Source organism: Homo sapiens, chromosome X, assembly GCF_000001405.40.
Source record: "Homo sapiens chromosome X, GRCh38.p14 Primary Assembly".
NCBI lineage: Eukaryota > Metazoa > Chordata > Mammalia > Primates > Hominidae > Homo > Homo sapiens.
In genome coordinates this window covers 31,809,222-31,824,742 of record NC_000023.11, presented here as the reverse complement: position 1 = coordinate 31,824,742, position 15,521 = coordinate 31,809,222, and the positions used below count along the sequence as shown (strand labels likewise).

Sequence of the window (15,521 nt, the reverse complement as noted above, 5' to 3'; positions counted from 1 at the left end):
ATGTTTAATAACCGATTAGCAAAATTACTGAAATGTGACAATAATATCTCTATTCCTGTTTCTTTCCTGCTTTATCCTTTTAAAATATATTATTTATAAGTATATTTTAAATTTATAAAAGCTACATTGTGCTATAAATCTTGTTTCTTAGCTTTTCTAACATTCATAATTGTGTTTTAAAGATCCACCCATGGCCGGGCGCAGTGGCTCATGCCTGCAATCCCAGCACATTGGGAGGCCAAGATGGGCAGATCATCTGAGGTCAGGAGTTCAAGGCAGCCTGGCCAACATGGTGAAATACAAAATACAAAAATTACCCGGGTGTGGTGGTGCGAGCCTGTAATCCCAGCTACCGGGAGGCTGAGGCAGGAGAATCACTTGAACCCAGGAGGCAAAGGTTGCAGTGAGCCAAGATCTCACCACTGCATTCCAGCCAGGGCAACAACAGTGAAACTCCATCTAAAAAAAAAAAAGAAAAAAATCCATCCACATTGCTCTACATATACCCTTATCCATTTCTTTCACATACATACCCATGTTGGCCTCAATTCCCCACAATGCAGCAACAAACTTTCTTGTACTTCCTTATGACCTTAAGAATGTGAGAGAAACTTCTCCGGTATACACTGGTGAGGGAATATGATCAGCAGGGTTTTTTGTTTGTTTTTCTGTGTTTTGCTTTTTAACTTATGCCCACCTTTCTGTTGGCAGTCAGCAGCCACATCTGAAGTTATAGCTCTCTGATTTAGACAAGGCTTATTCTTCCCTTTGTTACAACCTAGTCCCTATAGGGACCTGAATTTGTGACCCTAGTCTATGAGATTACTTTTTAAATACAGTTTGGTTCAGGATTTATAAAAGCCTAATAAGGCTGGGTGTGGTGGCTCACACCTGTAATTCCAGCGCTTTGGGAGGCTGGGATGGGCAGATCACTGGAGTCCAGGAGTTTGAGACCAGCCTGGGCAACATGGCAAAACCCCGTCTCTACATAAAAATGTATGTACTCAGTAGTACTACTCAGTAGTAGTACTGAGTAGCTACTCAGGAGGCTGAGGTGGGAGGATTGCCTAGGAAGTCGAGGCTGCAGTGAGCCGAGATCTTGCCACTGCTCTCCCGCCTGGGTGACAGAGTGAGACCCTGTCTCAAAAGAAAAAATAAGCCTAATAAAATGATTGCACGCCTGGAAAACCTACATAGGCTCCTTCAAGTCCCATATATATATAAAGTCATCCATGGTATGTAGTTCACATTGAAGTCAAGTTGGGGGAAAAGAAACTTATTTATCTCTTTCTCTTTTCCTTTATTCAAGTAGCAATTTTCATTTAATTTTATTCAATTCAGAAATATTTACTGAACTCCTCTTATTAGGAAGCACTAGACTGGATATAAAGAAAACATCGTACAAGGCATAGAGGACTCAGTCCTGCCTTGCGAAGGGCACATAGTCTGACTGGAAAGACACATGCTGACAGGGTAGACTGTGTTAGGAATAATGCTCAAAATCCTGAGGACATTGAACACTCGAACAAAGGATTCTTAGCAAAGCAATTTTACTTCTGCACAGAGGGGTGCCTCCTTGGCCAGTTGCCATGAGAGCACACCTGAACAAAGGGGCATGAGAGCCTTTATTCCTGACGCAAGTCCTGCCCCTGTACCCTTTCCCCCCATTGGCTGGGGTTGGGTCGTACAATCTAAACTAATCCCAGTTGGCTAAACATTTGATTTTTTTAGATAGGGTGGGCACGTAAAATCAAGTGGAGAGGAAGGGGAAGGGGCGTCTGTAATGAGCTAGAAAGTTAGTCCTCTTTCCAAATAAGGAAATGAATGTGAGCTGGTACTGAGGTGTGCCTGGGCATCTAACAAAGGTAAAAAGGAAAAAGGAGAAAAATCAGGGGGTACTATGAATTAAAGAATAAAAGATTGATCAGATTATTTGAAGAGAAACCTCATCATATCCCACAACTGGAAGAAACAATTTGATGGCAAGTTTCTCTTCGTCGTTTACCAGCTCAAAATCTCAACTATCAAAGGCAAGAAAAATACACACACACACACACACACACACACACACACACACACACACACACACCCCTCTGCCTTTTTCTGTATGGCCAAAGCCTTCAGTCCAGCTGACCACTTCCCACTCCAGTTACCATGTTAGCCTCCCAACTTGTATCTCTGCACCCTTCTGATAAAGCCTCCACAATGCAAAACACGAATCGTATCATATGGCTCTTCTTCTCTAAACACTTCCATCTACTCTGTGGTTTTAGAAGAGAATGTAATAGTCCCACATTACAAGGTCTTAATAAATTGCATTCTTGCAGCTCTGTATCATTACTTGTAAACACTGTAGTCTAGATAGCCAGGACACACTGCATTTCTTTTTTAAGGCTCGATACCTCTTGCCATTTTGCACGTAGTTTTCCTTCTGTCTGAAATGCCCTTTTTCCACCTGGCGCTTGAATGGCCCCTTCTGAAAACTTCCTAGTCGTCTTTCAAAATAAATTCAAATGTTAGCTTTTGTGGGTAACCTATTGACCTCTCCAGGCTGAGTTAAGCTGTTCCCCCGAGGTGTCTTGTTGAAATCATTATTTTTTCCTAAAATCTCTGTTCTAATTTACTTACATGTCTGTGAATGCTTAGAGGTTACGAACTTCAGTTTTGTAAGCTTAGTAACTGGCACAAAGTCTGGCACAGAGTAGCACCTGAACAATTATTTTTCTGGAATAAATAAAGTAATGGTTTCATTGAAATGATTCGCATTAAATTAATGATTAGCATTAAACTACAACGTGTATATGAAACATTCCAGTTAGGTTGGGTTCATTCCATTCCTATTTAAAGAGTTTGTAGTTTCTGGCTCTTTTCCAACTCTGATTCTTCAGACTAGAAATGCAATTTCTGCTAATGTATTTATTTTAACCAAACCCGACATCAATCAAGTTATTTGTATTCCTCATAAGGTAAGCATAGGAATTTACAGTGATACAAAAACGCAGCTATTATCTCTTATAGGCACTGGTAAAGCTTTTGTGACTAGTGCTACTATACTGGTAAGGTATTGCTGCTTGTAATGAACTAAATATTTCAGTGGCTTAACACAATAGGAGTTCTTTTCTTGCTCACATGACAACCCAGCGTATGTTTTCCTAGTCAAGCAGCTTTCTTACATATGTTATTGCAGAAACCTAGGTCCTGTTCATCTTCTTCCTCTGCCTGCCATTCCCTTGGTAGCTTTTCTCTGCTCGGGTTTCGCAAGAGGATGAAATCCTATTGAAAATGATCTGAGGGTCTATTATGTTCTCAAGAATGGTACATATCTAGTCTATGATAAATGCTCAGGTAACTGATTAGGTGTAATAGATATCTTAGGATTTTGTCATGAACAATCAGCATCAACACCACCTGGAAAATTGTTAAAAATGCAAATTATTGGGCTCCACCCAGTATCTACTAAATCCAGAACTCCGGGGCTACCATGCAGCAATTAGCAAGGTCTCCAGGTGATTCTGTTGATCCTAAAGTATGAGAACAACTGCCCTAGGGCGTTAGGACTTAATTCTCTCCTCAGTAAGTTGTAAAGATTTGCCGTAGGACCTAAGAGTCTTCTGCTTCCAGCAATAGAAAGGAAAAAAAATGTGGAAACCTCACTAAATTTTTCAAAGCCTCAGCCCCAAACTGACAAACAACACTTCTGCTCACATTCTGCTGGCTATAAATTATCGTATAGCTAGCTGCCCAGTGAAGTGGAACCAGCTCAGGACGGCCTACTGTTATATTGCCAGGCATTTTTTGAGCCACTTGATGTTATCTTCTTGGTAATTTAAATTTAACCGTGGTAGGAATATTTACACCACAGAAATTGGCAAACACTAAAAACAAGGTGTTTTTAAACACCCTGAGATCAGAGATCCAGTTGATATACATCTACCAGCACACCACTGGCCATATACAGGCTTGCCTTATGCCACGGGGAGCTCTGCAGCTGAAGTAGCCCTTCAAACTTGTCCTGCTTTGAGCCAAATTAGGCCTCTATACTTTCACCTTCATCAGTCACTGAATGAGGGCTGCCTGGGGAAAGGCATGAACTTGGACAAGGCAGCTCTCTGCAGCTCAGGCAGTCCCTGAAGGGACTGACAGTTGAAGAATGTCTACTGACATCATTTCCATCATCTAGAACAAGAGTCTTTCTTTGAAGGGGGCTCTGAGTAGCATATTCCCGTGTCCACTGCAGCCCCTCCCTTTAAGAGACTCTGATATAATTGACTGGGGGTGAGCCAGTACATTAGGATTTTCCTAAAGTTATCTGGATAATTTTAGTATGCAACCACAATAGATACTCTTCAAGAATTAAGCTAGTTGCTGAGAGGGAACTGTTTTTTGTTGGTTTGTTTTCACTAATGTTTGCACTCTACTTCCTTTAAATAAAATTATGCCTGGAGAAAGGGTTTTTGTATGGAGCAATTGATAAATATTTGTAGGGTGGTTGGCTAAAATAATTATAATTCCTTTAAAAGAAATTCTACCCACTAAAGTTAATTTAGAAGTAAAATATAATAGAAATCCAATAATATATTCACCAAATGGATTAAGATGTTCATGAATTATCTTCAAAGTGTTAATCGAATAAGTAATGTGTATGCTTTTCTGTTAAAGAGGAAGTTAGAAGATCTGAGCTCTGAGTGGAAGGCGGTAAACCGTTTACTTCAAGAGCTGAGGGCAAAGCAGCCTGACCTAGCTCCTGGACTGACCACTATTGGAGCCTGTAAGTATACTGGATCCCATTCTCTTTGGCTCTAGCTATTTGTTCAAAAGTGCAACTATGAAGTGATGACTGGGTGAGAGAGAAAATTTGTTTCAATTCTAAAGATAGAGATAAACCTTTGTGTTATTGACTGTGCAAAAAGTCTTAGAGTACATTCCTTGGAAATTGACTCTGATTCAAAGTGTTGCATGACAACGGGATATGGGGAGTGTTCTCTGGAGATACACCCACAAGGAAGAGAAGAGCACAAGGGAGATTGTGGGAGAGTCTGAAATGTGATTTGTCTGCAGCAGAGGCCTAAGCCAGTCTCGCAGGAGCCCTACATCTGGGCTGGCTGTGCAGAGCTGTCCTGAATTGCAGGCAGTGGGCCTGGCCCTTGTATTCCTGATCCAGCCAGCCATTGGCCAGGGGCTGGCTGCTGCCTGAGAGTGGAAGGACAACTTGGACAAGTTTTCTGAGGCCGAAGGCAATTCTTAGTAAGGAACACCATTAACAACCAATATTCCTAGCATCCAGGGATGTGTGCATTGTTCCTGAAGAGGGACAAGTATGTCTACAAAAATCACAGAAACCACAGAAACACACACAGTCCTACTAGCACCTCTCCCTGTCCCATTTGCAAACAATTTAAGAGCTCTCCCATTTTTAGTTCAAGAAAAAGAAAAATGGATTGGGAGGACCACAAGCTGACTTGGGGGAGGAATATTTCCTCATTTAGCTGTAGTTTTAACTTTTGTTTTCACTGCATATTTTCAGTCTATTTTATTTTCTTTCCTCTTCAGTTGTTGATAGAAGGTATTCATAAATTCTCATGGCAATGTTAATGCTGGCTTTGACTCTCAGGGGAAAGAGGCCAGAAAACTTCTTTGCTGTACCATTCCATAATTAGGCAGAACTAAAAACATCTTTGGGTGTTGTTTTTTGTTTTTGTTTTTTTTTTTGCCTTGTCTGCTTTTCAAAGATCAAATGATTGAAGCATTAAAGCATGGTGACTGGTTCTTCAGGTAAAGTTGATTTTTATTTTATGTCAAGTAGAAAAATACTGAACTGGAAGAATCACAGCTGGGGTAGCACAATCATAATTCATTAGAAGGCATAAATAGTGCTTGGATTAAAAGAAGCCCTACAATCTGGGGACAGTGCATCTCATGTGCCCTCTGGGATTACTCGGCAGTCATCAGAGTTAGATTTAACGACTTTGGAGACTTAAGCATTATGGTTTTTTTTTTTTGTCAATCTGGGACACTGAAATTGCTGTATCAGGGTTATACTCAACTGTGTCAGGTTTATTTGTTTTTATGAGCTGTAATTTTTGGTTCCCTCAGCGCATATGCATAGTTTGTTCCTATGTTATCATTTATTGGTGTCTGTTTTCTGGCTGTCTCTGGTAGGTTCAGCCTCAGACTCTGTAACTCCATGAAGAGATTATGTTCCAATGATGTTTTATAAGTTTGTTAAACTCTGAACTCATGAGTTTATGTCCCATATAAGCCACGTTACACATGGTAGGAAGGCTCCAAAACCAGGGCGCCGAAATCCATTTAACGTGTAACTTACCTAAATGTAACAATGTTTATAAGAAAAATACATTGGAAGTTCCAGTTTTGACTTCCAGCAACATATATAATTCATCCACTTTATTTATTAACTTCCATGTGTTGAGCATCATACTGGTGCTGCGAGTACAGCATAGAATAAAAGTCTCTCCTTTCATAAAACATATATTGTAATTGAAAGAGAAAGACAATAAACTAATGAAGAAAATATATACTGTCTCAATAATTATAAGTGCTGTAGAGTGTAGTCTACAGATTGATGTCAATGGGTATTTGTTAGACACACAGAATCTGAGGCCCCTATCCTAGACCCACTGAATCACAATCTGCATTTTAATAGAATCCCCAGGTGAATCCTGTGCACACTGACATTTGAGAAACACCATTACAGAGAACAACTAAGCAGGGAGATGGGATGAGGGTATTATTGTCTATAGTGTGGTCAGGGAAGCTTGTCTGTTAAGAGAACATCAGAAAACTGATGTAAGTGAGGAAGTGAGCCTGGTGTATTTCTGGGAAAATTATTCCAGGCAGGGAGAGAAAAGACTGAGCAACGATACTGAAGTAGGAACAAGATGACGGAATATTAAGGAGATCAGTGAGACTAGAGGAGTGGGTCAGGGGAAGTGTGATGGAAGCCATGAGAGATACTCATCTTTCATAGCACTGCCCTACTTCCTTCTCCCCAACATGAGGGTCTCATCACCCCCCACCACTCTTGTCTTCTCCTATGTCCTCCACATTGCTGCCAGTATGGAGAGTCTGGGAATGCCCTCAGCTCAAAGCTGTTTGGTGATAGCTGGCAGAGTTGTGGTAGTAGCTAAAAAAGAATTAAGGGAAAGAGGAATTTTCTCAAAAGCAGGTGCTTTTCATCCTCTTTAGCAAACCGAAACAGATCTGAGCATTAAGTCAAGATGTTAAATACACAAATGTTGAATGAAAAAAAAAACAAAAGGTAGTCATTTAAATTCAGAGCTGCTTTTATTAAAATAAGATTTTCTTTTTTCTTTACTGTGGTAGTTCAAATATCAGAATAAAGAATTGTTTCTATTCCCGACTTCCTGACTTGCAGGAAGTTAATCAGAAATAAATGCAATATAAAAAAAGAAAATCTAATTTGTATTATGCTTCTTGTATATGTTTATTATTTCATGTACTGTATTACAATGTAATAGAATTTATAATTCATTATAGCAGATTGTTTCCATTGCATTCCTACTATTAAATATGTAGAAGCTACACATATACTTGTAGCTTTAACATATATGTCTTTATCCTCAAAATAACTGCAAAGAACATATAGATAATTTTTAAAGATTAAGGAGCCTGAGGTTTAGAGGGGAGATAGCTAGATTAAGGCCACACAGCTAGAAAGCAAGCAAGCAAGGGTTTCAGTCCACATGTCAAGCTCCACAGCCTGTGTTTTGTTTTGTGGCTGTGCTTTACACTATCTCTCTGTCCAAGAACCTAATGGAAAATTACAGATACAGATGCAGCTGGCCAGCAGTTAATATAATTTAACTCAATCTTAAATTTATCTGGAGTAAAAGTGATACAAGTTTCCGTGTTTTTTCTTTTCTTTCTTTCTTTTTTCTTTGTGTGTGTGTGTGTGTGTGTGTGTGTGACAGAATCTTGCTCTGTTGCCCAGGCTGGAGTGCAGTGGTGCGATCTCGGTTTACTACAACCTCTGCCTTTCAGGTTCAAGCGATTCTCCTGCCTCAGCCTCCCAAGTAGCTGGGATACAGGTGCGCACCACCATGCCCAGCTAATTTTTGTAGTTTTAGTAAAGACGGGGTTGCTCCATGTTGATCAGGCTGGTCTTAAACTCCTGACCTCAAGTGATCCGCCTGCCTCAGCCTCTCAAAGTGCTGGGATTACAGGCATGAGCCACCTTGACTGGCCTGTTTCTGTGTTTTTTCTACTTAAGAAGTAGAAAAAATTGGTTCACTCTATTTGAATTTCTTAGAACCATAGAAATCCAAACTTGGAATAATTATTGCAATTATTATCTAGTTGAGTATTCTTCTTTTATAGATGTAGAAGCTGAGGCCTAAAGTTGCTTGTTTTGTTTTATGAACACTAAACCAAACTACCTTGTGGCTGCTTACTTAAATTATAAATTATAATGGGGTGGCCTTGCCTGAGCTGTATAAATTGTTTTAATTATCAGGACAAATCAACATACTGGAAAAAAAAAGCAAAACTTGCAATTGTTGTTGCTTAGACACCTGTCCATATCAGTTTCTATTGTTGCATAGAAGCACCCCAAAACTTAACAGTTCAAAACGAGTGATTTATTGCTCATAATTCTGTGTGTCTGAAGTTTGCTCTGTGATTAGCTGGATAGTTATTCTGATGGTCTTGCTTGGTGTTACTTATGTGGATGCAGTTATCTAGCAAGTGAACAGGAGCTAGATGGTCTAAAATGCACTCTCTCAGATATCTGACAGCTGGCTGTTGGTTGCAGAACCTTGATTCTTCATAAGGCCACTCATCATCCTGTAGGCTAGATTAGGCTTCATTACATGGTATTCTCAGGGCAGTTTTCCAAGAGAGGGCGGGTGGAAGCTACAAGACCTTCTGATGCCTAGGCTTTGAAACGTGTAGGTTACTTCTGCTAAGTTATATTGGTCAAAGCACCTCAAAAGATCAGCCCAGATTCAAGAGATGAGGAAATTACTTCATCTCGTGAAAGGAGGAGATGCCACATCGCATATCAAAGGGGTATGCATATTGGGGATAGAAGGTTTTATTGTCACCGTATTTATACACAAATCACTACATTGGGGAAAAGGAGGGAAACTGGAGATCAAAAGTGTTGGTCTTAATCCAACTTAATTCTCAAAAATTACCATGCGTTAGAACCACCCAGTTCTTCGCAAAGTATAGATTACTGGGCTTCAACCCCAGAGTTTCTGATTTACTAGCTCTGGGGTGAGACCTGCATCTCTCTCTCTCTCTTTTTTTTTGAGACTGAGTCTTGCTCTGTCACCCAGGCTGGAGTGCAGTGGTGCAATCTCGGCTCACAGCAACCTCTGCCTCCTGGGTTGAAGCGGTTCTCCTGCCTCAGCCTCCTGAGTAGCTAGGATTATAGGCACCCGCCACCACGCCTGGCTAATTTTTGTATTTTTAGTAGAGACAGGGTTTCACCATGTTGGTCAGGCTGGTCTCGAACTCCTGACCTCAGGTGATCCACCTGCCTCAGCCTCCCATAGTGCTGGGATTACAGGCGTGAGCCACTGTGCCCAGCCAAGACTTGCATCTCTGAAAAGTTCCTAGGTTATGCTGATGCTGGCCTATGCTTTGAGAACTACTACCACAGACATACAGTGAGTGGGGAAGAATAAATTCATCCCTTCTGCTGTGTGCAGCAAGGAGTGGGATTCCAATGAGATCCAGTGCTGTGAATGCTAAAGGGAAATCCATCTTATTTTAGCACCTCTACTCCCCATCTCCCCACCCCGAGGATGTTATAGCTTAGAAGTTCAAGGAGATGGACAACACACTAAACCAGGCAGTATTTGCCCTGCAGAGCTGTTCAGTGTTCCTGGATGAGACCTCTGAGAAGAAAAGCCATAAGTTCCTCTAGAGACTTTCACAATCATTTAGGTAGACAGGACTTTGCATGGGTCTGAAGGCTTGCATGGCAGATGGAGGCAAAGAGCCAGCAAATCTGGTTGTAAATGTCAATGTGAATCCTTTCTTATCCACAAGCTGCTGGGCCTGAGAACATTAATGTTCTACAATACCCGATTTAGCATTTTTGAAAGAAATTGCATATAGACATGCTTAATGTGAAGACTCCAAATCAGGATATTTGATTCAAATGTCTCTTGGTAATAACTATGGAATGAATAACCCATTGTATATGGACATATAGAAGAGCCAGTTAACAGAGTTTTCTTTTTTTTTTTTTTTTTTTTTTTTTTTTTTTTTGAGACGGAGTCTCACTCTGTCGCCCAGGCTGGAGTGCAGTGGCGCGATCTCGGCTCACTGCAAGCTCCGCCTCCCGGGTTCACGCCATTCTCCTGCCTCAGCCTCCCCCGTAGCTGGGACTACAGGCGCCCGCCACCACGCCCGGCTAATTTTTTTGTGTTTTTTAGTAGAGACGGGGTTTCACTGTGTTAGCCAGGATGGTCTCGATCTCCTGACCTCGTGATCCGCCCGCCTCGGCCTTCCAAAGTGCTGGGATTACAGGCGTGAGCCACCGCGCCCGGCCCAGAGTTTTCTAGTTGATTAAACACTGGTAAAATCATCTCTTCCTGTAATTAAGTTTGGAGAGAGCAAGTCTCAAGTGTAATTAGGAAAGCACAGTATTGGAGGTCAAGAAGCCTAAATTCTGATATCTCAGTTGTGCTACCAACTATATAAGGGATCAACAGACTGTTTCTGCAAAGGACCGATACTAGATATTTTCTGCTTTATGGGTCATGTGGTCAACTCTGTCATTGTATACTAAAAGCCACAGACAATACCTAAATAAAGGGACATGGCTGTGCTCCAGTGACACTTTATTTACAGAAACGAGGCAGGTAAGATAGATTTGACCCTTAGTGGGCTACCCATTTCCCCTTAGCACTCAGCCTTCCTATAAACCATGAAGCGTCTAACTACAAGTACCTGTGAGTCTTCCTGAGTCCTTTCTCTGCCTGTAGGAGTAGCTCTCCCACTTGCAGAGCAGGCTGGAAGCTGGGGAGGAGATTATCTCTGGAATAGCACTTAACCAATGGACAAAAGCTGGGGGATAAAGGTGTTGGTCTTCATAGTTTTCATACTGCTATGAAGAAATACCCGAGACTGGATAATTTATACAGGAAAAAGAAGTTTAATGGACTCACAGTTCCACATGGCTGGAGAGGCCTCACAATCATGGCAGAAGGCGAAGGAAGAGCAGAGGCACTTCTTACATGACAGCAGGCAAGAGAGCATGTGCAGGGAAACTGCTCTTTATAAAACCATCAGATCTCATGAGACTTATTCACTATCAGGAGAACAGCACAGGAAAACCCCACCCCCATGATTCAGTTACCTCCCACATGGTCCCTCCCACAACACGTGGGGATTATTGGAGTTACAATTCAAGATGAGATTTGGGTGAGAACACAGCCAAACCATATCAATAAATATCCCACCTTCTTCTCCCCTTGGGTAGGACACCTCCAATGCATGTTCCACACTAAAAATCTCCAGTGAATTGGGCAGTTGACCACAATGATAAGCATACTTATTAGCATGCCTCGTATAGGCTTCCTTCCGATGTGTAGGCTTTCTTCCCATTTTGGCAGAATCTGGACCCAACCCCACATCTCCTGAGTTTGATTTCAGTCCTCTTCAGTATTCTCATATATCTCAACTTTGTTCCCTGCTGAGATACAACTGACAGATATATATGTATCTTCAGCTCTGCAGCTCTATCTTCTCTTCTACCATGGCTTTCTGGGATCAGCTCCCAATTGAATTATTTGTATTTAAATCCTTGTCTCAGGGTCTACTTCTGAGCAAACCTAAATTAATACAAGTCTTAGAATTAGTGCCACAGTTATACCTTTTGAGTAAGTTATGTTGCAATTCCCATTTTATAGATGAGATAACCAAGGGTCAGAAAGGTTAAATAATTTGTCCAAGGTTACAGAGCTAGTCAGTGACAGAGTGGGTATTCAAAAATAAGTCTCTATGATTCCAGAGCTTATGCTATTAATCAGTGCACCATGTATCAAGCAGTGATTTAGTTATCTTCATTTGAATTTTTTGAAGTCTCTATTTAAATTGAATATCAAATCCTCACATATAAGGTTATTTATACCTTTTTATTTGTTTTATTTATTTATTTATTTTTGCTTAACTTTTTTTTATTATACTTTAAGTTTTAGGGTACATGTGCACAATGTGCAGGTCTGTTACATATATATACATGTGCCATGTTGGTGTGCTGCACCCATTAACTCGTCATTGAACATTAGGTATATCTCCTAATGCTATCCCTCCCCCCTCCCCCCACCCCACAGCAGGCCCCAGTGTGTGATGTTCCCCTTCCTGTGACCATGTGTTCTCATTGTTCAATTCCCACCTGTGAGTGAGAATATGCGGTGTTTGGTTTTTTGTCCTTGCGATAGTTTGCTGAGAATGATGGTTTACAGCTTCATCCATATCCCTACAAAGGACATGAACTCATCATTTTTTATGGCTGCATAGTATTCCATGGTGATTTATACATTTTAATTTGAACTTCACTCACCTCTACAAAGTTAAATAAAGCATTCCATTTCCATTTCAATAATACTTTAAATATCTAGGCAGTTAAAGCATGAGGTTACTTGGCACTTAAATGTACTCTTGTCATACTACTTTTGTTGGCTTAAATTGCAAAAAAAAAAAATGGTTAATTTATTGTGACAATACCCTACATTTATCTGCAGTGATCATTTTTTTTGTGAAAATGGCCTTCGTTTATCTGCAGCAAAGGAAAAAGAGGATGGCAATTAGTTCTTGCATTCTTATTCCTCTCTTGGGTCCTGATCCTTCTCATTAATAGAAACATGGCAGGGGAGGGGTATATAACCCACACCCTTTCCTGTTGTGGTTATGTTTCCACTGTTGATTCTGCTTCAGGTGAACCTTTAGGATTAGGCAAATAAATTTCCGTGAGGCCAAATCTTTTTCTTCCTCATTAACAGATGATTTCTCTGCTAAAAACACTTACGACATGGCTATACTATTGCCGGTTTTATAGTTACAGGCTCTAAACCTTGAAAACTTCCTCAAAGTCTAATACGTCAGGAGCAAGCTTTTGTACAAAAAATGTGAAGACCCTTAATCAGTTCCAATAACAAAATAAATCCATTTTAAACCCTATCCCAAGATACTGCAAGGCCTTGGAGCAGCTGGAGAGACTCCTTAACTCTTGACATTAATTAATTAATTTAAAAATTCATATTTGTATGTATCAGTGAGGTAAGAGTGCTTGAAATATAATGAGATGTGTCACACTGTAGAAAGGGGAGTGACAACAGAAAGCCCTGGCTGGTGAGGCCCCAGCACTTCTCACACTCATCAGAAGGAAGTCTTTCCATGAAGGCAGTAGGGGGTCCCTGGTCCCAGGCCAGGTCCTTCAACAATGCTCACTGGTTAACAGGAAAGGCACTACAGTGGCATCATTGTTAACATCCAAGACAGTGATAGAATGTGAAACTTCTACTGTTTAGTATTTAGTATTCAGCATTTAGATGTTAATTATCCATTTTGTGATGAAGTTCCCTTTCTTCTCCCTCTCTTAACCTTTTGGTAGTTTTATTGCATGGTTACCATTTCCAGTTAGGGTTGTGCTTTGGGGTCTGAACTGATGAAGGAAGAGAAACTCTAGTTCATCATTTCTAGGAAAAAGAGAAGGCTAACATCAATTCTGATGATTAGAGATTTTTTGATTACCTATGTCCTGCATTTTAACAGAAATAAAATGTTAATTACAGTAAACTTACTTTAACCTTCTTATGCTATTTAACACTCTTCAAGAAAGGACTTTTGCTTGAAATCACTACAGAGTATACCATAATCTTGACTGTCATACTCTGACCAAGAAACCAGAACTATTTAGGCATATTTATGAGAGTAAGTACCCTACCGCTCAAAATGGAAGGCTTCAACATGTATTCCTAATATTTCCTAAAACTTCACTGAATAGTTTTAAAATTGAATATAACTTTACCTTCAGAGAGAAACAAGATTTCGAAAGGAAATTGTAGCAGTTTTGTACTTCAATTGTCGATTTTAAGATTGTGGTCTGAAAAGTATTTGAACAGTCATTCTTTCTTTTCCACTATCTCAGGAAAGGCTCTCATTCTATTAGAAGCAATCTTAGAAGCGTAACTGCCAACTCTCTTCTTAAAAAGTGAAGAGCAGATGGAGTTCTACCAATCTGCTATACTTGACAGTTTTTCAACTACCTAACCTAAGTTCCAGTTACTGTCTAAATTATTTTTATTCGAATAGGAAAAATACATTTATGCTTACTGTACATTTCGACAGTGTTCATTCTTTGAGGTCTGTTATTTAATCTCCTTCCCACTTTTCTTTTCTATCTTAAATCAGATGAGTCCCCATGGTCTGGCAACAAAACAGCTGTTTCTCAAATTTTTAACGTCTCTGTGGCCCTCCTCCTACCCTTCCAAGTGTTTTCCATACTATTTTTCTGTTGTGGGCTTCAGAATTGGATGCTGTTCCATAATTACTGGTCTTCCCATGACTCTGTCACATCATAAAGTCTATATATACCCTTTTCCTACGTTTACATGCCAAATACCAGGTGTGTCTAGCTTTAATTCAATGACTAGCATATGGTAGGTATTGCACTAATATTTTTTGGTCAAGTGAACATATATTTTACAGATAGATCAAATACATCAACCTTCCCATGTAATAATAATAATACCAAGAAGATTAAATGATCGCGTGCTTGACCAGCTGTTTAGTGGCAGAATCTGGACCCAACCCCACATCTCCTGAGTTTAATTTCAGTGCTCTTCAGCATTCTTATATATCTCAACTTTGTTCCCTGCTGAGACACAGCTGACAGATATATATATATATCTTCACAATCTCAGTAGTAAGCCCTATTTTTTTAAGATTACAGTGCTGATCAAAGAGGGATATTCTATGGCATTGATGCAAATCTTCCAGGCCAGATATAACCCCTATCTCCTTAAACCCTCATTCTTGACTGTGTCTTGAAATCAAATTTGAGAACCTCTGCTTTACATGCTACCTTCCTCTTAAAATTCATAAGGTTTATTCCTTCTCTCATCTTCAGTATTTTTATGAAAATATGTTTTACTCTTATTTCCAAAGTGCTTGCCAGCCCATGCTGAGTTCATTAGACAAACAATCTAGGTATCCTAATATTTAGGTAAAATTGCTAGCAGCACTAACTATACCAGTACCCACTTAAATTGCAATATAAACCTACAATAGGAAAAAAAAAGTCAAAATTATACTACTTTCAATTCCTACTTCTGGAATAATTATCACACCTTCAAAAAAACTCATAATTGTTCTCCAATATTAAAAACCAGGAACTAAATTACATCACTATATATATATAGCTATATAGACATATAACTGTATATAGTTTATATATATATTACATGTCACTATATATGGTTATATATACAGATAGCTATATCTCTATATAGTTTTTATATAGG

The 15,521-nt window shown here is 39.8% G+C and overlaps 1 protein-coding gene across 20 annotated transcripts in view; it reads left to right on the top strand.

The window, feature by feature from the left end:
* Positions 1-15,521, top strand: part of DMD (dystrophin) — a 2,220,167-nt gene that overhangs the window by 1,514,646 nt on the left and 690,000 nt on the right. For all 20 annotated transcript variants that reach the window (XM_006724469.4, NM_000109.4, XM_011545467.2 and 17 more), the window contains 1 exon segment: positions 4,660-4,768. In XM_006724469.4, coding sequence (XP_006724532.1) covers positions 4,660-4,768 — 109 coding nt within the window.